This window comes from Homo sapiens, chromosome 22, assembly GCF_000001405.40.
Source record: "Homo sapiens chromosome 22, GRCh38.p14 Primary Assembly".
Lineage (NCBI taxonomy): Eukaryota > Metazoa > Chordata > Mammalia > Primates > Hominidae > Homo > Homo sapiens.
The window spans coordinates 32,137,392-32,160,810 of record NC_000022.11 but is presented as its reverse complement, the minus strand read 5'-3'; the positions used below and the strand labels follow the sequence as shown (position 1 = coordinate 32,160,810).

General features: G+C 41.0%; 1 protein-coding gene across 6 annotated transcripts; it reads left to right on the top strand.

Annotated features, from left to right (window-relative positions):
* The first annotated feature begins 362 nt into the window (after nucleotides 1-362).
* C22orf42 (chromosome 22 open reading frame 42) lies at nucleotides 363-11,805 on the top strand. 6 transcript variants are annotated; one of them, XM_011529922.4, is made up of 10 exons: nucleotides 376-910; nucleotides 1,589-1,827; nucleotides 6,493-6,567; nucleotides 8,185-8,249; nucleotides 8,717-8,744; nucleotides 9,260-9,324; nucleotides 9,792-9,819; nucleotides 10,332-10,492; nucleotides 11,031-11,058; nucleotides 11,198-11,805. In XM_011529922.4, exons 1-10 carry the CDS (start codon nucleotides 876-878, stop codon nucleotides 11,269-11,271), a joined length of 798 nt encoding a protein of 265 aa, XP_011528224.1. In that variant the 5' UTR covers nucleotides 376-875; the 3' UTR covers nucleotides 11,272-11,805. The 6 variants fall into 6 exon arrangements, with proteins under 6 accessions (XP_016884121.1, XP_016884120.1, XP_016884119.1 ...); XM_017028629.3 differs by lacking the exon at nucleotides 376-910 and adding an exon at nucleotides 966-1,354; NM_001010859.3 differs by lacking the exon at nucleotides 376-910 and having other exon boundaries at nucleotides 1,508-1,827.
* The last annotated feature ends 11,614 nt before the right edge of the window (nucleotides 11,806-23,419 follow it).

Here is a 23,419-nt window from a genome sequence, read left to right as displayed (position 1 = left end):
TCCTTCCCCTCTTCTTCCACGTCTAATCACCAAGCACTTCCTGTTCTATCTCCCAAATGATCACAAAACTTTTCCTTCCACTTCAGTCACTGCTGCTGCCTTTTTAGCCTTACTGTTCTCCAGATGAACATAGAGTATCTTAATCAGCCCCACTGCTTTCATAAAGCCCTCTCCACTGCGCAGAGTGACGTCACTGCAAGCACATCGGATAGAGACTCCTCACCCCTGTGTGGTTCAGTGACTCTCGTTTCCAGAATAAAATTCAAACTCTACCCCAGCATCTAATTTTGGGTCAGATAGATCTGCATTTTCATTCCAGGTTGATTCACTGTCCAGCAGTGTAGCCTCAGATAATTGAACCCTCTAAGCCTTTGTTTGCTCATCTGCCTGAACTCACTGAGGGTTGGGACTGTTTCACACATGCAGTATTGGCACTTAGACTTAATGTTGAATGAAGGGGAGGCATTTTAAAATTCACATCAAAAAACTGTTATTCTTTAAAAAAAATACTAATCTACAAGGTCACTTCCCCTCCAAGCATGACGTCTACCTTTACTTTCTGATAATCATGATCGGCTTGTGGGGATCAAGATTACTCAGGATTAAATTCTGGCCCCATCTTGAGCCGTCATGGAAACTTGGGGAAGCTACTTAACTTCTCCATCTAGATTGATTCTGCAAAATCCGTAAAATGGAATGGTTTCTGGGGGTTAAATTAGTATACCACTGTTGGAATACTGTCAGGCTTGCCAGATATTTACTGTTCATCTTCATCAAATGAGGACAGTGGTATCCCACTATATGGTTTTCAATTTTGTGTAAGAAAAACGTGCTTTATGCATTGTTAGTAAAAGAAATATCTGAATATCCCTGCCATGGAAGAAAGAAACAGAGGGAGAAAAGAGAGTTGGTAGGTCCTAGCATTTCAGAACTGGGAAGGATGAGTTCAGTCCCTATTTTATAGACAATGAAGGGAAAGTGTGATGTGTCCTAGGGTTTCATTCAAGTCGCAGTCATCACGCTTTATCGAGAGTGGGACCAGGGCTCTAGGAGTTGCTGTGGTCAAGTTGAAGACAAAAAGTAACACTTGTAAGACAGGAGAGAAGCATTTACTTACAAAGCAGTCCGAAATTTGTGTATAACTACATTTGGTGAGCAAACGAAAGCTGCCAGACTCAGAAAAACAGAGATGCTAATGGAACTGACTTTAGTAACCAGGGTTTTCTATTGAGTTCATTGCCCAGGGTGACTTCCAATAACAACCTCCAACCCCTGCACTTTTCTCAGGACTGGAAAGCTCAGGCAGCCCAGGATGAATAATGCAGTCACCACAGAGGGACAGGGTGGCCACAAGGTGGGCAGCAGCAGGGATGGGCATTGTGAGGCATTTGGTGGGTCTGTGGGGTCGGCCATTGTGAGCCACTAGCCTGACTTGGTTGTTTCCTGGCAACCAGGTGACATAGGAGGTTTTGTGGTTACTAGGCAACGGCCAGGGCCAGCAGCCTTCAGTCGGTAGCTGGCCGTAGAAGGAGGAGGAGCTCCGACTACATTCTGTCCTTGTGCCTCTTGGACTTTTTTGTGTGTTTAGGTGCCCAATGGGGAGCAAACTGACTTGCTGCCTGGGCCCCAGCGGGGGCCTCAACTGTGACTGCTGCAGGCCAGATGTGGGACCCTGCCATGAGTGTGAGATTCCTGAGACTGTGGCAGCCACAGCACCAGCATCCACCACTGCAAAGCCTGCCAAATTGGATTTGAAAGCTAAGAAGGCCCAACTCATGCAGTACCTCAGCCTCCCGAAGACGCCGAAGATGCTGAAGATGTCCAAAGGTAAAGAAGCCATGGGTGCCATTTGCTCTCTGGCATCTCTCTGGCCACCACCGCCCCCACCCCTTTGCAGTCCCTCACCCTCAGAGACATCCTCAGCTTCCAGCTCCCTCCTGCCCATAGCCGGCTTTCCCAGGGCTAGGCATGGGGGACAAAGGCTGGTTCTGCCTCTTGTCTTTGTTGTTGAGCCTTCTTTGTTGAGGACTTTTTGGTCTAGTCCCGGCCCTTTTCTCAGTAAAATTTCAAATACTCCAGTTTTGGAGTCCCCATCCCATTCTCTATCCTTACCCATCCAGCTGGTCTGGTACCTAAGTGAAGGAGCCAGTTAAGGGCCCAATTGTTTCTTTTCTCCCATTCCTTAAGGTAGCTAATAATTGGGATAATTTAGACTCAAATATGTGGAGACTTCTTAAATTCAAAATAGAGTTTGCCATGGAAGAGATTATATGGTATTCTTAATAGATGGTTTTAAGTCACATTGACAGAAGCTGCTTTACTTCTTCCAATTGTAATTTGAAGAAAGAAGGAAAAAAAATTGGGGGACATGCTTCAAATGACTGCAAAAGGTATGAAATGTTAGTGCCAGAGCTGTAAAGAAATTGCTTTTGTGTTGGTTTTACCCAAAGAGTTTAGTCATGGAGCTCTGATTACTTTAAAATTCCCAATTTGACATGAGTGTCTCTTCAGCCCTACTACAGTGTAGTCCCTATATTGTAGACAAGGAAGGGAAAGTGTGATGTGTCCTAGGGTTTCATTCAAGTCGCAGTCATCACGCTTTATCGAGAGTGGGACCAGGGCTCTAGGAGTTGCTGTGGTCAAGTTGAAGACAAAAACTAACACTTGTAAGACAGGAGAGAAGCATTTACTTACAAAGCAGTCCGAAATTTGTGTATAACTACATTTGGTGAGCAAACGAAAGCTGCCAGACTCAGAAAAACAGAGATGCTAATGGAACTGACTTTAGTAACCAGGGTTTTCTATTGATTTCATTGCCCAGGGTGACTTCCAATAACAACCCCCGCCCCCCTGCACTTTTCTCAGGACTGGAAAGCTCAGGCAGCCCAGGACGAATAGTGCAGTCACCACAGAGGGACAGGGTGGCCACAAGGTGGGCAGCAGCAGGGAGGTGTGAGCCATTGGGTGGGTCTGTGGGGTCGGCCATTGTGAGCCACTAGCCTGACTTGGTTGTTTCCTGGTAACCAGGTGACATAGGAGGCTTTGTGGGTACTAGCCATTGGGCAGGGCCAGCAGCCTTCAGTAGCTGGTAGTGGAAGGAGGAGCTCTGACTACACTCTCACGACTGTTTTTTGCCTCTTGGTTCTTGTTATGTCCCTTTCTTTTTGAAATAAGACGGAAGGTCCCCACCTTCATAGACATAGAGATCCCATCTTATTTGTTTTTTAAAATAAATTGAAAAGTGAGGCGGAGCCTTGTGAGGATGATGGGAGAGGGCTTCCAGAGAGGAATTTCTTCTTTGGAATTCCTGAAATGGGAACAAACTTGTTTTGGGAAAAGGACAGAAAGACACAAAGGTGGCTGCAGCAGAGTGAAATGAATATGATGGGCTAAGGCCTTGTACACGTAGTGAGCATTGACAAAGAATATGGACTTTAGTTGAGATGGGAAACCACTGGAGGATTACAGCCTGGGGATTACTGTTAATCCTCCAAGAAGAAGACTGACCAGCGGCTGTGTGAGAATGTCCTGTAATGCAGGCAAGGGTGGAAGCAGGGAGACCAGCTAGGAGGCTGGTGGCGAAGTGCAGGTGAGAGTCAACAGTGAACAGACAGACGATCATGACCTGAAATAGGCTGACTTGAGAATCTCTAGAGTCAAGTGATCCTAAAAGTAGGTAATAAAGTGATAAATAGAGAAGTCACAGAAAAAGAAATGCAAACGATCCTTAAACACATCTTCACACATAAGAGAAAGGCAAATGACAACTATACTGCAGTGTCTCTCCTACTGAGTGGAATTCCAAAAACGTGGCAATACATTCTTTGGTTTGGCTGTAAGGAAAGTTGCATGCATATATTGCTGGTGGAAATGCAAAATGGCTCGACTCCACGAAGGGGAATTTGTCACAATTGCAAATGCATTTAAGCCAGAAATCCTACTTTGAGGCATTTTATCTCGAGGGTATACTCCATAAATATGAAACAACCTATGCACAAAGTCCTTGTTGCATTATTTTCAATAGCTCAATATTGGAAATAACTGAAATGTCTAGTAAGGGACTAGTAAAATTAACTGGTACTTCCACCTAAAGGAGAACTATGGAGCTGTAAACAAGGGTAAGATGTCATTTTACTGCTATGGAGTGATTCCCAAGATAGGTTACACAGAAAAGCAAAAAGGGAGAACATGCGGTAACATACATGAAAGAAAGCAGGGGGAATAATGTGTGATTATTAAAACAAACAAAAAAACAACGCTGGGGAATTCTTGATGCTGACCTGTGACTGTTTTCTCCTTAACTTCAGTGGGTAGCCAAAGTGCGTGTTTTCTCAAAATGTTATTTTGCTATGGGTTTTCCAAAGGATGTTAACTGTTTACTTTTCACTCAGAAGCTTTGCTTTGTAATTGATTGTGCATTATGTAGTAAATAGACTGCTCTTGCATTTTATTTGATCCTCTCAATGTTTTAAGTTAGGTGTAATATGGGAATTTTCCTTGTGTCACATATGAGAAGGCTGGTTCTAAGAAGTATAAAGTGAGTTTTTCAAGGTTTGAAAAAATAAATGTCAGATCAAGAATGTAAATTCTAGACATGGCATATAAAACTAGAATTTATTAAAAGGTACATATGAGCTGCTTTGGATACTACCTCTTTTAAAAAAAATTTCCTTTAGTTTATTAAAGTAGTTAAGCCTCAGGATTAAAACAGTAACATTAGATAATGAGAAATAAAATGGAGATACTTGTAACTCAGTAATGCTTTTTCTTTTTAAGAGACAGGGTCTTGCTTTATCACCCAGGCTGGAGTGCAGTGGCCTGATCATAGCTCACTGCAGCCTCAAACTCCTTGGCACAAACGATCCTCCCACGTCAGTCTTCCACATACCTAGGTAAACAAGAGCTCACTACCACATCTGGCTAATTTTTAAAACATTTTTTGTAAAGAAGAGGTCTCGCTATGTTGCCCAGGCTGGTCTCAAACTTCTGACCTCAAGCAATCCTCCTGCCTTAGCCTCCAAAAATGTCAGGACTACAGCCATGTGCCAGGACACCTAGCCCAGAAATGTTCCTAAAACTCTGAAAAATGAAGTTAAATGCTATTAACAAATCTATAAATGGATAAAAATATACTATGATATATCAAATGTCACAGCTCAGTCATGGTCACAACATTGATTAAAACGTTAAACAGTTTAGGCAAGTCTGAGAACTGAGAGGGAAGTACAGGATTGCTTTGGAAGCCAGAATTAGGATTGTCGGAGCAGGGGAAGCAGAAGCAAGGCGTGAGTGTGCACAGGACTGGGGCACGCAGCAGCTCCATGGTATGCTGTGTGTCCTCTTACATGGCAGGCCACCTCCAGGCCAGCAGATGAGAATCACCTGATGGGAGATTTAGGTAAAATCACCCAAAATAGAGTGGATTTAGGTAAAATCCCAGACTGTGCATCATAACTGAGAGACTTTAAATGTTTGTCTTATGGGTCATAAAGCTAATCAAAGTGAAAATGCAGGGATAATAGACCAGGTGAGTAAATGCAGTAAGCCACCTGCCATCTCTCCAGGGCATCAACCATCCCAAAGAAATATTGGGGCAGCAGGATTTGACAAAGCTTGTGAGAAGAGCTCTCAGTTCAGGGTCCAGGGCATGATCTAGAGGACTCAGATGTTCTGGGATCTCTGTCCCCAGGGAACCAACTACATTCTTGTCCCAGATCTTCATGCCTCACTGTGGTAACTCTGGGCAAGTCACTCAAAACGTCTAAGTTTTAATTCATTGAATTGGAAAATACGGGTTGTAGCCCCTGCTCTGCCTGTCCCTCAGGGCTAATGTGGGGATCAAGGAAATGACAGATCTTTTTCATGAGCTGGAAAGCATCATGCCCATGGAAACAGTGAAGTCACCTTCCACCCTCCCCTGCCCGGGAGCCATACACGCTCCCTCTCTGTATTCAACCACTACCAAGTATCTGGATTATTCTCCCAGACATTGAATGATTGAACACTGTTGGGCATTTACAAAGCATGAGTCTTCTTAAGCCTTTATCTGTATCTCATCCTTTTTAGCCCTATAGATCTTAGTAGGTCTATAGCAGAGATCTACTAACATTCCCACATCTCAGAATAGGGAACTGAGGCACAGAGGGGTTCATTTCACTCTCCCAGGTATGTGCAGATTCTAAGTAGGATTTGAACCCAGGCCATTCTTGGTGACTTGGATCTGCTGCTTTTCTATATTGTCTCATCTAAATAAAGGTATCTGCCTGCACAAACAGTCTGTTTTAAATGCAACGAACCTTGCAAAATCTTCCAAGAACCCAAATCTAATTCAGGTAGAGTTGAAAAGCAGACGGTGCAAACCGGGATCAAAACTTTCATCTGTGAATAAGTTTTTACTAATTTCTCTGCTATCCTCTGCCAGCAACATGTCAAGCACTGTCTTTATTATAATACATTTCCTAGAATCTATAAGAAGTCTGCTCTACCTTGCAGGTTTGGACGCCCGCTCCAAGCGCTGGTTAAAAATAATATGGAGACGGCACGGGATTTGGCCTCTAGAAAATATAGGTAATGTGGAAATTAAATCATTAAGTTCATTTAAGCAAACAATTCCAGTTTATTCATTCAGTGCTCCATATTAGAGAAACTCAGTAAATGCTATGTCATGTTCTTCATTTATTTCATTTGTGCCAATTTAAATGCATTAAATCAATGGTAGATGATACAACTACACAAGTAAAGTAATATTGACAAGTTAGAGTTGTTCTTTTGTGTGTGTGTGTGTGTGTGTGTGTGAAAAGGTCTCATTTGTCGCCCAGGAGTGCATTGGTGCAATCACAGCTCACTGCGATCTTGACCTCCCCAGGTTCAGGGGATCCTTCCACCTCAGCCTCCCAAGTAGCTGGCCATAAGGCACGTGCCACTATACCAAGCTAATTTTTTTTTTTTTTTTTGTAGAGATGGGATTTCACCATGTTGCCCAGGCTTAGTTCAACTTTGATAGTAAAGGACATCTCAAATGTTTAGACATTTGCTTTCAGTTTGGTCAATTATGAATACAGCTATTATAAACCTTCCTGTGTCTTGTTTGGAAACACAATTTTTAAAATGTAACTGAGGAAATACTTAGGATTATGATTACTTGCTTGTATGGTAAGACTACATTTTTCTTTGTAAGAATTTCGGTAGAATTTACCAGTGAAATCATCTGAATATAGTGTTTTAGTTTTTTGAAAAGATATTAATCATTGATTCAATTTCTAAAATAAATATAGGCCTATTCAGATGATCTATTTCTCCTGAGTTTTGGTCTTCTAAAATAGATTTTAACAGTTAGCTCATTTCATCTACTGTATCCAATTGTGAGCACAGATGTGTTCAGGATATTCCTTTATTATTTACTATTTTTTGATTTGACTCTTCTTAAACAGATATTATTAGTACACTGTGACTTCTTTCTTTCCTTTGTGGGTAGCCAAGGTAGAGGTTTATCAACATTACTGATCTTTTCAAAGAACTGGTTTTTGGTTTTGTTGATTTTCTCTGAGGATTTCCTGTTTTCTATTCCATTGTATTCTGCAATCATTATTTATTTTTCCTCTGTTCTATATTACACTGCTGTCTTTCTCTCATTGCCCAAGTTGAAGCTTAGATTATGAATTTAGATATTTCTCATTATTGACACAGCACCCTGAATGTAACTCATTGAATGTAATCTCATTAAAATGCACACTTAATAATTAAAATGATAAATATGTATGCTTCACTACAATTTGAAGAACACAACAGGGTAGATGATCAATGTAGTGGCAGGATATGTAGATCCACAGAAGTTAAATGATCTTGTAACATTTCATAAAATTGGGGATTTGCCTGGACCTTCAAATGGGGAGGAGGTGTGATGAGATGCTGTCGCTGAACCATACAGTGCCTTTCTGTATTAAACTGTTCTTAAGGTGACATTGATGAGGTTGCCCTAGCTGGAAAGCCAAGGCTCTTTCATTTCTTTCTGCCCCTCTCCTTTGCCTTCCCTCAACACCAAGGAGAATGGTCCAGCAGCAGCTCAGTCCATGCCTGTCAACCGCCCACCTCCACATACTCCAGCCCCGGTCCACATCCCCCAGGGCTCCTTGTGGGATTCCTCAGCAGCACCAATGCACTGACTGTCACTCTGTGTTCTCCTAGGTCCCACTGAAGATGTGCAGGCGTCTGCACACGGCGGTGTGGAGGAGAATATGACATCAGATATTGTAAGATGTATTTCTTTCTCTGGAAGAGAAATGCTTTTTGTTTTTTCTGGGGCTTCTAGAATATCAAGTGAGTATCATTTTTGACTGCCATCATGATTCAGGCCTCAGTGTCATGGACTCTAGAGACCGGTCACTGGAGGTTATGACCAACTGAGGCCTGATTGACGATGGCCGTCAAAGGACGGCATCACTTACAAACTGTTTGGTAGTGAGTGTATTTCTCAGTAGCAACCTTTTCTCCTTGAAAAATAATTTTGTATTTGCCAGCCAACATAGACTTGCTAAATATTCCAAAAAACCCACTGCATTTTCCACAAGCATCCTCTATGCTTTATTTGGGGGCCAGTGACTTGATCACTGTTTCACATCCGGTTTTTTATTTCACCAAGTGAATAAAAGGCCTTTGCCAACAGAACCCAGCATGATCTGATCCTCATGGTGTTTCTTTTTCTTTTCTCTTATTGCAGGAAATACCTGAGGCCAAGCACGACCACCGTACGTATTTTTTTTTTAAACAGCTTTATTTACATGTAGTTGACATGCAAAACAATTCACTCATTTAACGTAAGTGATTCAGCGTTTTTACTATATTCACAGGGTTGTGCAACCATTTTACAATCTAATCTTAGAACCTCTTTATTCCCCCTCAAAGAAACCCCACTAGTAGTCACTCCTCTGTCTTTCCCAACTCCCACACCCCTGGATCTAGGCAGCCACGAATGTACTTCCTGTTTCTATAGTACAGCGCCTTTCTGTGTTAACCGGTTCTTAGGGTGACTATTTCACATTCATGAGGTTGCCCTAGCTGGAAAGCCAAGGCTCTTTCATTTCTTTCTACCCTTCTCCTTTGCCTTCCTTCAGCACCAAGGAGAATGGTCCAGCAGCAGCTCAGTCCATGCCTGTCAACCGCCCACCTCCACACACTCCAGCCCCGGTCCACATCCCCCAGGGCTCCTTGTGGGATTCCTCAGCAGCACCAATGCACTGACTGTCACTCTGTGTTCTCCTAGGTCCCACTGAAGATGTGCAGGTGTCTGCACACGGCGGTGTGGAGGAGAATATAACGTCAGATATTGTAAGATGTATTTCTTTCTCTGGAAGAGAAATGCTTTTTGTTTTTTCTGAGGCTTCTAGAATATCAAATGAATATCATTTTTGACTGCCATCATGATTCAGGCCTCAGTGTCATGGACTCTAGCGACCGGTCACTGGAGGTTATGACCAACTGAGGCCTGATTGACGATGGCCGTCAAAGGACGGCATCACTTACAAACTGTTTGGTAGTGAGTGTATTTCTCAGTAGCAACCTTTTCTCCTTGAAAAATAATTTTGTATTTGCCAGCCAACATAGACTTGCTAAATATTCCAAAAAACCCACTGCATTTTCCACAAGCATCCTCTATGCTTTATTTGGGGGCCAGTGACTTGATCACTGTTTCACATCCGGTTTTTTATTTCACCAGGTGAATAAAAGGCCTTTGCCAACAGAACCCAGCAAGATCTGATCCTCATGGTGTTTCTTTTTCTTTTCTCTTACTGCAGGAAATATCTGAGGCCAAGCACGACCACCGTACGTATTTTTTTTTAAACAGCTTTATTTACGTGTAGTTGACATGCAAAACATTCACCCATTTAACGTAAGTGATTCAGCGTTTTTACTATATTCACAGGGTTGTGCAACCATTGTTACAATCTAATCTTAGAACCTCTTTATTCCCCCTCAAAGAAACCCCACTAGTAGTCACTCCTCTGTCTTTCCCAACTCCCACACCCCTGGATCTAGGCAGCCACGAATGTACTTCCTGTTTCTATAGTACAGTGCTTTTCTGTATTAACTGGTTCTTAAGGTGACTATTTCACATTGATGAAGTTGCTCTAGCTAGAAAGCCAAGGCTCTTTCATTTCTTTCTGCCCTTCTCCTTTGCCTTCCTTCAGCACCAAGGAGAATGGTCCAGCAGCAGCTCAGTCCATGCCTGTCAACCGCCCACCTGCACATGATCCAGCCCTGGTCCACATCCCCCAAGGCTCCTTGTGGGATTCCTCAGCAGCACCAATGCACTGACTGTCACTATGTTCTCCTAGATTTGGTCGAAGATCTCAGTGAAAGCCTATCTGTCTGTCTTGAAGACTTCATGACATCGGATCTCAGTGAAAGCCTATCTGTCTCTCTTGAAGACTTCATGACATCAGGTCTCAGTGAAAGCCTATCTGTCTCTCTTGAAGACCTCATGACACCGGAGATGGTAAGATGCATTTCTTTGTCTGGAAGAGAAATGTTTTTTCTGGGTCCTCTTGCCTTATTAATGAAATGAAGATATAAAAATCTGACCATGTATATTATAGAAGACAAATACAATTTTTTTGTTGGCTGGAATATCAAGGGAATATCATATTCGATTGCCATCGTCCACCAGGTCTTAGTGGATCATGGACCCTAGCGACCAGTCACTGGAGTTTATGACCAACTGAGTCCTGCTGGATGACAGTAGTCAAAAATGAGCGCATCACTTACAAACTATCTGGTAGTGAGCATATTTCTCAGTAGCAACTTTTTCTTCTTGAAAAATAATTTTGTGTTTGCCAGCCAACATGGACTTACTAAATATTCCATGAAAACCCATTGCCTTTTCCACACACATCGTCTATGCTTCATTCGGGGGGCCAGTGACTTGATCACTGTTTGACATGTTGTTTTCTACGTCACCAAGTGAATAATAGACCTGTGCCAACAGGGCCCAGCATGATCCGATCCTCATGGCGTTTTCCTTTCTCCTATTGCAGGCAAAGGAGAGATATGAAGATTACCTCTGTAAGTATATATATATCTAGATATATATAGATATATATGTAGATATAGATATAGATATAGATATGTAGATATACATATATGTAGATATATATATATATATATTTTTTTTTTGAGATGAAGTCTTGTTCTTTTCCCCTAGGCTGGGTTAAGATGGCACGGTCTCGGCTCAATGAACCCATCAGCAGCCAGGTTCTAGGACTTCTCCGGCTTTAGTGTTCCAAGTAGCTGGGATTACAGACGCCTGCCATCACGCCCAGCTCAAATCATTTTATGAATGCATATTTCCATCTGGGTGAAAAAAAAATCACAAGCCTCTCTCTCTTCCTACTGAGCACCTGTGAACAGTGACCTGCAGTTTGTGGCTGCAGCCAGTCCTCTTGCAGCCTGGTGTTCTTACATTTCATTCTGAGGCTCACATTCTCAGTCACCATGCAGAAGAACACCCGCCCCATCCTGGGTCATTACAGAGTGGGTCAATCCATCTGCTGCATCTGAAGAGCTGGGTCCAGCTTCTACAGTGAATCCATATATTTCTGTATTTCCTGGATAAGGAAGAGCAAAGGAGCTGAGCTGGTGGAGGAAGAAGAACTAATATTAACTGACTCCTTATTTTGTGCTAGTACTGTGCTAGTTACATATTTTATCTCATGTAATTCTTACCAAACTGTAAGGGGGTTTCGGAGTGATGGAGACAATATTGATGTTATCTCCATTTTAGGGTGAGAAAATAAAGGCTCAGAAATGTTATATTACTTGCCCAAGGTCACTCAGCTGCTAAGAGCCAGGATATGAAACAGAAGCTTTACATTAGAAGGGTTCAAATTTATTTTCAATTTCCCTGCTCCATTCTGAATAGGTATTGGCATTTACCCTTGGGCTATGTAGAACAAGTGCTTTGTCACCAAAACATCTATTGTGAACTCTTTCTGCCCTAGTAGGATTCGTGCATTTTATCTTCTTCAAAGTAAAAACCTTTAAGAGCCAGGAATCTGCCACACTGACTCTCAACTTAAATCTCAGCCACTTTTACCTTAAAATTCAGACTTGTGTAGACCTCTCTAGAAGACTTGGTGGACTAATCTTTAAGAGTTCATTTGCATGAGGGAGGAAGAGGAGCCCACATTTGGACCAAAGACATGCCTAGAAGTCGGCGCAGGAGGGTCAGCAGGAAGTCTGTTTCTTAGAGTTCCTCCAGCCCAGTCTGAGTGGTAGAAATCAGGAACTGAAAATAAATCTGAAAGGTGTTTGAAATCATGGTGAGACATGGGTAACATAATATATTGGGGGTTTGTGTTATAAATGAGGCTATTTTCGTATGTTTAGTATTTTGTATTTTTAGTAGAGATGGGGTTTCACCATGTTGGCCAGGCTGGTCTCGAACTCCTGATCTCAAGTGATCCCCCTACCTCAGCCTCCCAAAGTGCTGGGATTACAGGCGTGAGCCACCGTGCCCAGCCATATATATTACATATATATATATATATATATATATATATATATATATATATATATGTACACACACACACACACACACACACTTACGGTGGGCCAGGCACAGTAGCTCATGCCTGTAATCCCAGTACTTTGGGAGGCAGAGGCGGGCAGGTCACAAGGTCAGGAGATCGAGACCATCCTAGCTAACACGGTGAAACTTCATCTCTACTAAAAATACAGAAAATTAGCCGGGTGTGGTGGCGGGCACCTGTGGTCCCAGCTACTCGGGAGGCTGAGGCAGGAGAAAGGCATCAACCCGGGAGGTGGAGGTTGCAGTGAGCCAAGATTGCGCCACTGCACTCCAGCCTGGGCGACAGAGCGAGACTGCCTCTAAAGAAAAAAAAAAAAAAAAAAAATATATATATATATATATACTAAATACATATAATATATTATTGGGGGACCTGCCCTGATAATCACGTAGATTCTTTTCTATTTTTCCTAAGCGTCAGCTGGCTTGAGAAATAAAGGGACAGAGTACAAAAGAGAGAAATTTTAACACTGGGTGTCCGGGGGAGACATCACACATTGGTAGGATCCGTGATGCCCCACAAGCCACAAAAACCAGCAAGTTTTTATTAGGGATTTTCAAAAGGGGAGGGAGTGTGCAAATAGGTGTGGGTGACAGACATCAAGTAATTAACAGGGTAATAGAATATCGCAAGGCAAGTGGAGGCAGGGTGAGATCACAGGACCACAGGACGGAGGCGAAATTAAAATTGCTAATGAAGTTTCAGGCACCATTGTCATTGATAACATCTTATCAGGAGACAGGGTTTTGAGATCAACCGGTCTGACCAAAATTTATTAGGCGGGAATTTCCTCTTCCTAATAAGCCTGGGAGCGCTATGGGAGACTGGAGTTTATTTATCTCTGCAGCCTTGACCATAAGAGACAGGTACGCCCCAGTGGGGGGGGCAGTTCAGAGACCTACACCCAGGTGCGCATTCTCTTTCTCAGGGATGTTCCATGCTGAGAAAAAGAATTCAGCGATATTTCTCCCATTTGCTTTTGAAAGAAGACAAATATGGCTCTGTTCTGCCCGGCTCACCGGTGGTCAGAGTTTAAGGTTACCTCTCTTATTCCCTGAACAATTGCTGTTATCCTGTTCTTTTTTCAAAGTGCTCAGATTTCATATTGCTCAAACACACACGCTGTACAATTTGTGCAGTTAATGCAATTATCACATAGCCCTGAGGCGAAATACATCCTCCTCGACTGACAAGATTAAGAGATTAAAGTAAAGACAAGCATAGGAAATCACAAGGGTATTGATGGGGGAAGTGATAAGTGTCCATGAAATCTTTACAATTTATGTTTAGAGATTGCAGTAAAGACAGGCATAAGATTAAAAAAGTATTAATTTGGGGAACTAATAAATGTCCATAAAATCTTCACAATCCACATTCTTGTGTCATGGCTTCAGCCGGTCCCTCCGTTTGGGGTCCCTGACTTCCCGCAACAATATATAAATATATATATATAATATATAAATATATATATAATATATACATATAAATATATATAATATATAAATATATATAATATATACATATAAATATATATAATATATACATATAAATATATATAATATATAATATAGATTATATTATATATTATATATATAATCTATATTATATACTATATATAATATATATATTATATACTATAGATTATATATAGTTATATATAACTATATAATATATAACATATATTATATATTATATATAATCATATATATAATTATATATAATATAATTATATATTATATATTATATATATTTATATATAAATAATAAATAAATATATATTTATATATCAAATATATAAAAATATATTTGATATATAAATAATAAATATATAATATATAATATATTATATATTATATTATATTATATATTATTATATATTAATTATATATAATATATATAACATATATATTATATTATATATATTATATTATATAATATATAATATTAATAATATAATATATATTATATATTATTATATATTATATAATATATTATATGTTATATAATAATATATAATATAATAATATATAATATATTATATTATATAATAATATATATGTTATATAATATAATATAATATATATTATATTATATTATATTATATTATATATTATATAATATATAATATATTATATTGTATTATATTATATATATGATAATATATTATATTATCTAATATATATCTTATATATTATCTAATATATTATCTAATATATATTATCTTATTTATTATCTAATATATAAGATAATATATAATATATATTATATAGTTATATAGTTATATAATTATATATAATATATATTATATATTATATAAAACATATAATATATATTATGTAAAACATATATTATATATTATATAAAATATATATTTTATATATATAATTATATAGTTAATATATTATATAATATAATATATAATATATAGTTATATTAATATATTATATTGGCATAATATATTATATTGGCCAATATATTATATAATATAATAAATTATATATCATTATATAATATAATAAATTATATATCATTATATAATATAACAAATTATATATCATTATATAATAAATTATATATCATTATATAATATAATAAATTATATATCATTATATAATATAATAAATTATATAATATATCATTATATAATATAATAAATTATATTATATATCATTATATAATATAATAAATTATATTATATATCATTATATAATATAATATATTATATATAGATATTTGTTTTCTTTGAGGCGGAGTCTCATTCTGTCCCCTAGGCTGGAGTGCAGCGGCGCAACTGCAAGCTCTGCCTCCCGGGTTCACGCCATTCTCCTGCCTCAGCCTCCCGAGTAGCTGGGACCACAGGCACCCGCCACCACGCCTGGCTAGTTTTTTGTATTATTTATTTTTTTAGTAGAGATGGGGTTTCATCATGTTAGCCAGGATGGTCACGATCTCCTGACCTTGTGATTGCCCGCCTCAGCCTCCAAAAGTGCTGGCATTACAGTTGTGAGCCACTCTGCCTGGCCAGGTAAGTATATTTTTTAAAAAACAGCTTTATTGAGACATAGTTGACATGCAAAACAATTTACCTATTTAATGTGGGTGATTCAGTGTTTTCACATTTACAAGGTTGTGCAATCATTGTTAGAATCTAATTTTAGAATCTTTTCATTCCCCCTTCAAAGAAACCCCACAGCCATTAGTAGTCACTTCTCTCTTTTCCCCAACCCGCATATCCCTGGCCCTAGGCAGCCACTCATCTACTTCCTGTTTTTCTAGATTTGCCTACTCTGGCAATTTCCTTTTTTTTAAATTTAATTTCTACTTTAAGTTCAGAGATACATGCGCAGGATGTGCAGGTTTGTTACATAGGTAAAAGTGTGGCATGGTGGTTTGCTGCACCTGTCAACCCATCACCTAGCTATTAAGCCCTGCATACATTAGCTACTTATCCCGATGCCCTCCCTCCTGCTTCAGCCCCCGAGAGCCCCACTGTGTATTGCTCCCCTCTCTAACATTGTACATATTCTAATACTGCTCCCTTCCTAATGACAAATCTAAGTGATGAGTCAGGGAAGATTCTCTTGCCTGCTTTTGTCTGGAGAACCTCCCTGGCTTCAGGTTCCTGATAGGTGTGAGGACCTGGGGTACGTTGTGAGAAACAGATGGCTCACTGAAGAACTGTGATCATCTGCTAGGGTCCCTGGAAACAGCCATATCATTTAGATGGTGTGGGTTTGTGTGCAAAAGGGCTGGGAGGTAACTAGTAGTGAGTTAATATGTAGTGATTATGAGTGTGTTTGTCAATGTGTGTTTCCCCCAGAAAATGTGGACCCACATGCACAACACAGTACAAGTGTGACTGTTTTTGAATTCCTGGCCTATAGTGATCTTCTCACCTCGGCCTCCCGAGTCATGTCATTCGTCTAATAGAAAGGAAGAAAAAATCCCACCACCACCATACACTTCACATAAATCACCTCTTTCCTCCCTCATCACAGCTGTACTGGAAGGCCAGTTGAATATCCTACTTAGATATTGTGGGATGGAGAGGGTACAGAAAAGAATGAACCCAGATTTTAACCTCCTGAATGGAAGAGGCAAACATGAACCCAGAAATGGGTCCCAATGTTGATGCTCTGTGTTACTCAACTGTGTCACTCTGGCATGAGATAAGGTGTCCCCACACCAGGGAGTTCCAGCACTTATGTGTATACTTGAAACTGTAATGGCCTATAAAGCATGCCAAACATTGCCCATCATCCAAGGGGGCCTCAGTGGTCACATAACCCAGGGTAGCAAAAGATACTGGAACAGCAGGCGTTAACATGGGCATTACTGTGAAACACACATAGAAAGCCCACAGGCTTTTGGTCAGCTCACAGATTCGGAGAAGGGTAAGATACCACATAGAACAGTACACATCAGCATCTGTTAGAGCTGGGGTCATTCCTCAGCACTTGGTCAAAGCAGGGGAAAATCAGGAAGATAATTGTATTGTATTTAATAACATGACCACCTCAAGCCTCAGAAATGCTCCAATCTATAGGAGACAGACAAGGGCCAGTGCCACATCAGAATGCAGAGGACAACATTGTTGTTAGCCTGGCACCCATCACCCTCACTGGAGACCTCCTGCATAGCTAGAGTAGTGAGGCTCAGCACTCACCATGTGCTGACCCCCATGATGGACGTTTCACTGCCGGGGGCTGGTGGGAACATGAACAGCCACCGACTCAATGGACGCACAGACAGTGTAAAGAAAGGGAAGACCAGAAAGAGAACTATCACAGGGTTAGCACTCACTATCTCTAAATAATAGGGAAATGCAGCATTTTAAGGGCTTTTTTTATTTACTTGTCTTTGTAACAAAGGATTAGTAAAGATATAATACAATTATTTTGCCTACTGTTCTTTCAATAAATGAGTAGAGTGACAGTCAGTGCACTGGTGCTGCTTAGGAATCCCACGAGGAGCCTTGGGGGATGTGGACCGGGGCTGGAGTGTATGGAGGTCGGTGGTTGACAAGCAGGGACTGAGCTGCTGCTGAGCCATCCTCCTTGGTGGTGAAGGAAGGAAGGCAGAGAGGGGTGGAAAGAAATGATGACCGAGCCTTGGCTTTCCAACTAGGGGAACATAGTCAATGTGAAATAGTCACCTAAAGAATAGGTTAATACAAAAAGACACAGTAACAACTTCATTTAAGACATAAATAAGAAATGTCACCTCTTGCTTAGCCTTTCTATTCCTCACAGCATTTGACTCATCTGTATACTTTACTCCTGCCACCTCTCTCCTTCACCCACCTTTTCTAGGAAAGGCCTCAGAGTTCATCCTCCACAAGCCATCTTTAGCATAGAGAGTGGGGCAGGGCTTGTTCCTCTGAAGTTAGACCCTGGCCCAGCCACATGTGACACTCAGTTGTGGTAGGAAGCTGGGAAGGAAAAAGCTAATGACATCTAACAAATGTTAGATATCTTCAGATAATGTTACTAGAGATAGGAAATGCCATGTTTATGTGGAAACTCAGTCTCTCTTCACTTAGCCTAGTCATAGTTTCTGTGTGCTCTGCTCAGGAAATCCTGTAAAATGCAAAGGGTACAACAGGTTTGCTTGAGGGACTGAGCATCAGGCTGAGCTCTTGGCTTCCTTCCTAGGAGGATAAAGGGTAGGTCAAGCTTCACAAGGTTGGGGAAGACAAACTCAACACTGGGACAGGAGAATCTCCATCATGCCCTGTTGATGCTACTGTTGAAATAGGTTTTTGTTTGCTTCTGAAAACCTTCACGCGCAGAAAGCCAAGGTAGTTGCTTTAAGTCATGATGAATGTGAATAAAGTGGACCACATGATGATTTGAGGTTTCTTTTGGAGCAGGCATTCTATGGAAATACATTGCTTTTCAGTAGAATTTGATTGTCCTGTATGTGTCAGTATCTTTCCATGAACAAAACAGAACAATGAAACTGTTTGATTTGGCAATGTCACTTGTTCACCCGAGAAGTGATTTTCTCATGACCAGATTGCCCTAGACATCTTTCATCTCTAGAGAATAGATTCCCCATGGTGCTTCAGGGGCCCTGCTATGTATGATTCAAGGAAAATATCAGTGTTACCAACATTGAGGTTCTTAGAATTCATGGACAGCTGCCCAGTGGGCTCCATGGGAGAGAGCGAGAGAGAGCCTCATGCTAGACCTGAAGGGGAACATGATTTAGAGGATCAGAAGGAAAAAAAATGAGGATATTGGGACATTGTTGGAAGAGAAGCTCAAGGTTGCAAGGTTAGGGGCATCAGTTCAACATCATCACCGGGGCCCAGGCAGGATATGAGACCCCTTCTGAGTCGGAGTGAGCAGGACCTGGCCTTCCTGTCTGCCGAGAGTATGCTGTGAACATCATCCTAAGTGCTTCGAGAAAGCAGCTTCCTTATTGTACCATGTCTTCCCCATCTCTTTGTGTGATGATGGCAATGACACCAGCAGAAATTGGTGAGAGGGGCAGAACAGGAATCAGGTCCCCACTTTTCTGACACAGAGCAGACAGGACACGAGTCAGTAGGGATGGACTTCAGGGTCAGGCCAGACACAGAGAGGTCCCAGACCTGATCTTCCTGGGGCTGTGACAGATAAGTTTTCATTTTTCACCTCTTCTGGAAGTCACCTGGGGAACGGTCCTTCAGTAGACACTGTTGGCCAATGGTTGTCTGGCCCAGAAATATGTTTCAACTAGACGTACGCCCCAGTTCTTGGCCAGGGCAGTGGCAGCGCTCCCGAGTAGCAGGGGAAGTGGGGAGGGACACGAGTTCCAGTGCAGGGTGAGCTCAGCAAAGGGGTGGGGACTGACCCTAGGGTCCAGGTCATCGAATCCGCAACACCTCAGTTTCCACTTACTTTGGAGATGGTTTAACATCTTCAGTATCAAACTTGGGGTCTTCCCACAGATGGATAGAGGAACCCTGGCCATGGGTGTTTGCTGCCAGGGCAGTGACTGTCTCTTCCTCATTTGTTCTTATCCCAGAGCTCAGTCCTGGGGAAGACACGTTAGGCCCCATGAATGTTTTAATGAACACACCCCAGGGATGAGTTCTAGATCACCCCTGGGCTGGGATCTAGTGCAGGTGTGGAAAGGTTTTCTTCACAGCCTGTCCAGCCTATTGAGCCCCACACTCATCCTGGAGCCTGCCCAGCTTATGATTCAGGGTCCCTGGAGATGAGGGTGAGCTCCTGAGGACAGCGAGTTGCCCCTACCTCTCTGCTCCTGCCGCCGTGATCTTGTCTAGACAGGGTGTGCAGGGCCATGCTCTTCCACTGGGTGCAAGAGCGCCCCCTGCTGGAATCCCTCTGGACCTGGATATTGTCCTCATGGTCATATCCCCAGCCCCACACAGTGACTGGCTCTTATGCAGATGCCCAGGAAGTAACCTTAAATGTATGCTAGGATCAGAGCAGCAAACGATTCTGCAAAAAAAAAAACACCAGGATAGGGGAGTCTTGTCTTCCTCATTTCTGGATCTCTGGAGCTGTCCCGTCTAGTGTGGTTCTCAGTCATATATGTGCCTCTTCATGGTTAAATAAATTTAAATATATACAATTAAAAATTCAGAACCTCATCAACAGAGACCATGCAATGGCCCAGCAGCCACATGTTTATACAGCTCGAGTTTTCCTTCTTTCCACCCTTTGATGAGAACATGATCTTCAGGCTGGTGCTGGTTTACCGGAAATTCTCGGGGTGGTACATGTGCTAAAAGACTTTTAGTTTTGAGGGAAAGGAAAGTGGGAGATAAATCAAGTATATAATTTTTAAGAAATGGACCTTTTATTTTAAATGTGGGGACATCAGCAGTGGACTTTATAGTCCTTGGTGCCTTCTTACTGAGAAATTTCCTTTAGCACCTATTTTTATTAGTTTTTATGTAATGCCCAACCTTGTTTTTTCCTTATTCACCTGGCCTTGTTTCTCCCTTAGCTAAGAGAACCAGACAAACTCCATCTTGGCTCTTTCACTGGCAGACCCTTCCTCAAGGACTTAACTTGTGCAAGCTGACTCCCCAGCACATCCAAGAATGCAATTAACTGATAAGATACTGTGGCAAGCTATATCCGCAGTCCCCAAGAATTCGTCTGATTGATAACGCCCAAAGCCCCGCGTCTATCACCTTGTAATAGTCTTAAAGCCCCTGCACCTGGAACTGTTTACTTTCCTGTAACCATTTATCCTTTTAACTTTTTGACTACTTAACTTCTGTAAAATTGTTTTAACTAGACGCCCCCCCCTTCCTAAACCAAGATATTAAAGTTAATCAAGCCCTTCCCTCGGGGCCGAGAGAATTTTGAGCGTTAGCCGTGTCTCGGTTGCCGGCTAATAAAGGACTCTTAGTTCATCTCAAAGTGTGGCGTTTTTCTAACTGGCTCGGGCACAACATTTAGACCGAAGAAAGCCAAACACCATTTTATATTTGACAATGCTTCCTGTATGTTTATACCACATAAGCTAGATTTCACCTTTATATTAGTGTTATTAATGTTAAACAGTTTTAATAAAACTTTGTAGACATATTTATTCAATTTTTAATGTCTGACCTTTTATAGACTTTTTTAACCTTTTATAATTTTTGTCAAAGAGCAGGTTAGCGCTTTAAGAAAAATCTGTTGTGTTTTTATTTTAATGTCCAGTTCACAGAAAAACTGGATGATACCCCTTTAACTTTAGCCAATATGTTTACACACAGAATTTTCTTTACAATTAATGTTTCAAAACTTGCTTAAACCTTCAAAACAATTTTTGTAACCTTTTAATGTAGGTAAAAATCCACATTCTTATGCTTCCTTATAATCCTTTTACCAAAGGCATATTTTACTTTCCTTATATACCTTGCACATAAACTGTTTCTTCAACAGTTTTACATTCAGGAGGATAATTAATTTAAATTATACAACATTTCTTGCATAAATTTCTTTTTCTAACACTTTTTTTCATGATTTTCACAGACAATTCTTCGACATGTCTCAACTTTCTGACTTATTGGAAACATCCCTTTCCTTAAACAACTAGTTAATTTATTTCAGGACAAGAATTTTCCATATAACATTCCTTTTTATATAAATTCTGCACCCCCACTTTTTTTCTTTTTTCTTTTTTTCGAAGATGATAACCATTCTTTTCCAAAGCAAACTTCCTTCAGGTCTGTGGACTAGACTGTCTAAGGCCACAGATTAGAAGTTACTATCATACACGTTACACTGTTAACTTTTAGCAAAACAACTTTACTTTTGTTGAAAACCTTGTAAGTGTGGGATTTCAATTATCCTTTGCTATTAATAAGACTTTGTTTAGTCCAGATTAACTTAGAATTGGTATAGATGGCTTTTTTTTTTCCTGGTTCTGTAAGTACTTCAAGGCTTGGCTGGGTGGCAAAGTTGAGCAGACCAATTATTAGGCAATTTTCCTAACTCTACTTCTACAAGAGTTTTCCTCAATTACAAAATACCCATTGTGGTTTTTCTCCTTAATCACCTGGGAGGAACTATCTATCATCCTGTCCTGAAGGTAGTTCCTCCTAGGTCTGGTCGGATCTTTGTATGGTAATTAAGATTTAAATTCCCTGTTAGGAAATCTTCTGGGTTAAGGGAATTTTCAGGGGTTTATGTTAAATCATCTTTTTCTAACGGAGTAGCCCCATACTTTAAGATTTTTGAGTTATTAAGCTACCTTTTTGCTTTTTTTTTTTTAACTTAGGATACTTCTGAACTGGTGAGGTGTGCTCACAATGAGGTTTCCTCTAAAAGTTATTTTTCTACTTTCTTCTGTCAGCAAAGCAGTTGCCGCTACAGACTGAATGCATTCGGGCCACCCGTGGGTTAATGGGTTCAAGGAATTCACACCAAATCAGAATCAAAACCAAAACCAAAGTGCAGATAAAGGACACGCCCGTTCGTCAAGCAATTTAAACCAAGTCAAAACCAAAACCAAAACCAAAACCAAAGTGCTGATAAAGGCACGCTGTGGGTGATCAGGCCATGCTTCCACTCAAATGGAGTGGACAAGTTCCCAAGACAGGTCCTGTCAAGCAATTCAAGTCAAAATCGAAACCAAAACCAAAGTGCCGATAAAGGCACGCCCATTTGTCAAGTAATTCAAACCAAGTCAAAATCAAAACCAAAACCAAAGTGCCGACAAAGGCACGCCCGTTTGCCAAGGAATTCAAACCAAGTCAAAATCAAAACCAAAACCAAAGTGCCGATAAAGGCACTCTGTGGGTGATCAGGCCATGCTTCCACTCAAATGGAGTGGGCAAGTTCCCAAGACCAGTCCTACCATGTTCCAGATATACGGACTCCAAGCGCCAGTTCCCTCCCGGTGCTCAGCCACTGCATTGATCCTCTGCTGGGGCCTGCCATGCACTGCTCTGACAAGGCATTCCACCGGGGCAAATGCCTACCCAGGAGCATGCTCAGGATCCACGTAGCTCAAGCTGGCCAGAGTCCCCTGCAGGGATGCTCCACAGGGCAAGCCTAAGCCACCTAAGGGGCTGCTTCACTTCCCGGTCAGGGAACCAAGAAATGTAGCAGGATGAGCCACAGACAAAACTCCTCAGACACCGGGTTAAAGAAGGAAGAGGCTTTATTAGGCCGGGAGGTCAGCAGACTTGCGTCATAAGAACAGAACCGAGCTCCCCAAAGAAAGAGTTCCTGGCCCTTTTAAGGGCTTACAACTCTAAGGGGTCCACGTGACAGGGTCGTGATAGACTGAGCAAGCATGGGGTACATGACTAGGTGGGGGTAAGCAAGGCAAGTATTTCTCCACACCATTGTCTGTGATCTATAGATAGCACAAGC

What these genes read in the sequence shown, in the direction of transcription:
- C22orf42 (XM_011529922.4), top strand. Translation starts at nt 876, where the DNA reads ATGGAAGAAAGAAACAGAGGGAGAAAAGAGAGTTG. An exon ending in AGAATATGACATCAGATATT is followed by an intron (nt 8,250 to 8,716) that starts GTAAGATGTATT and finishes CTCTTATTGCAG; the next exon opens with GAAATACCTGAGGCCAAGCA. An exon ending in GAGATATGAAGATTACCTCT is followed by an intron (nt 11,059 to 11,197) that starts GTAAGTATATAT and finishes CTTTTCCCCTAG; the next exon opens with GCTGGGTTAAGATGGCACGG.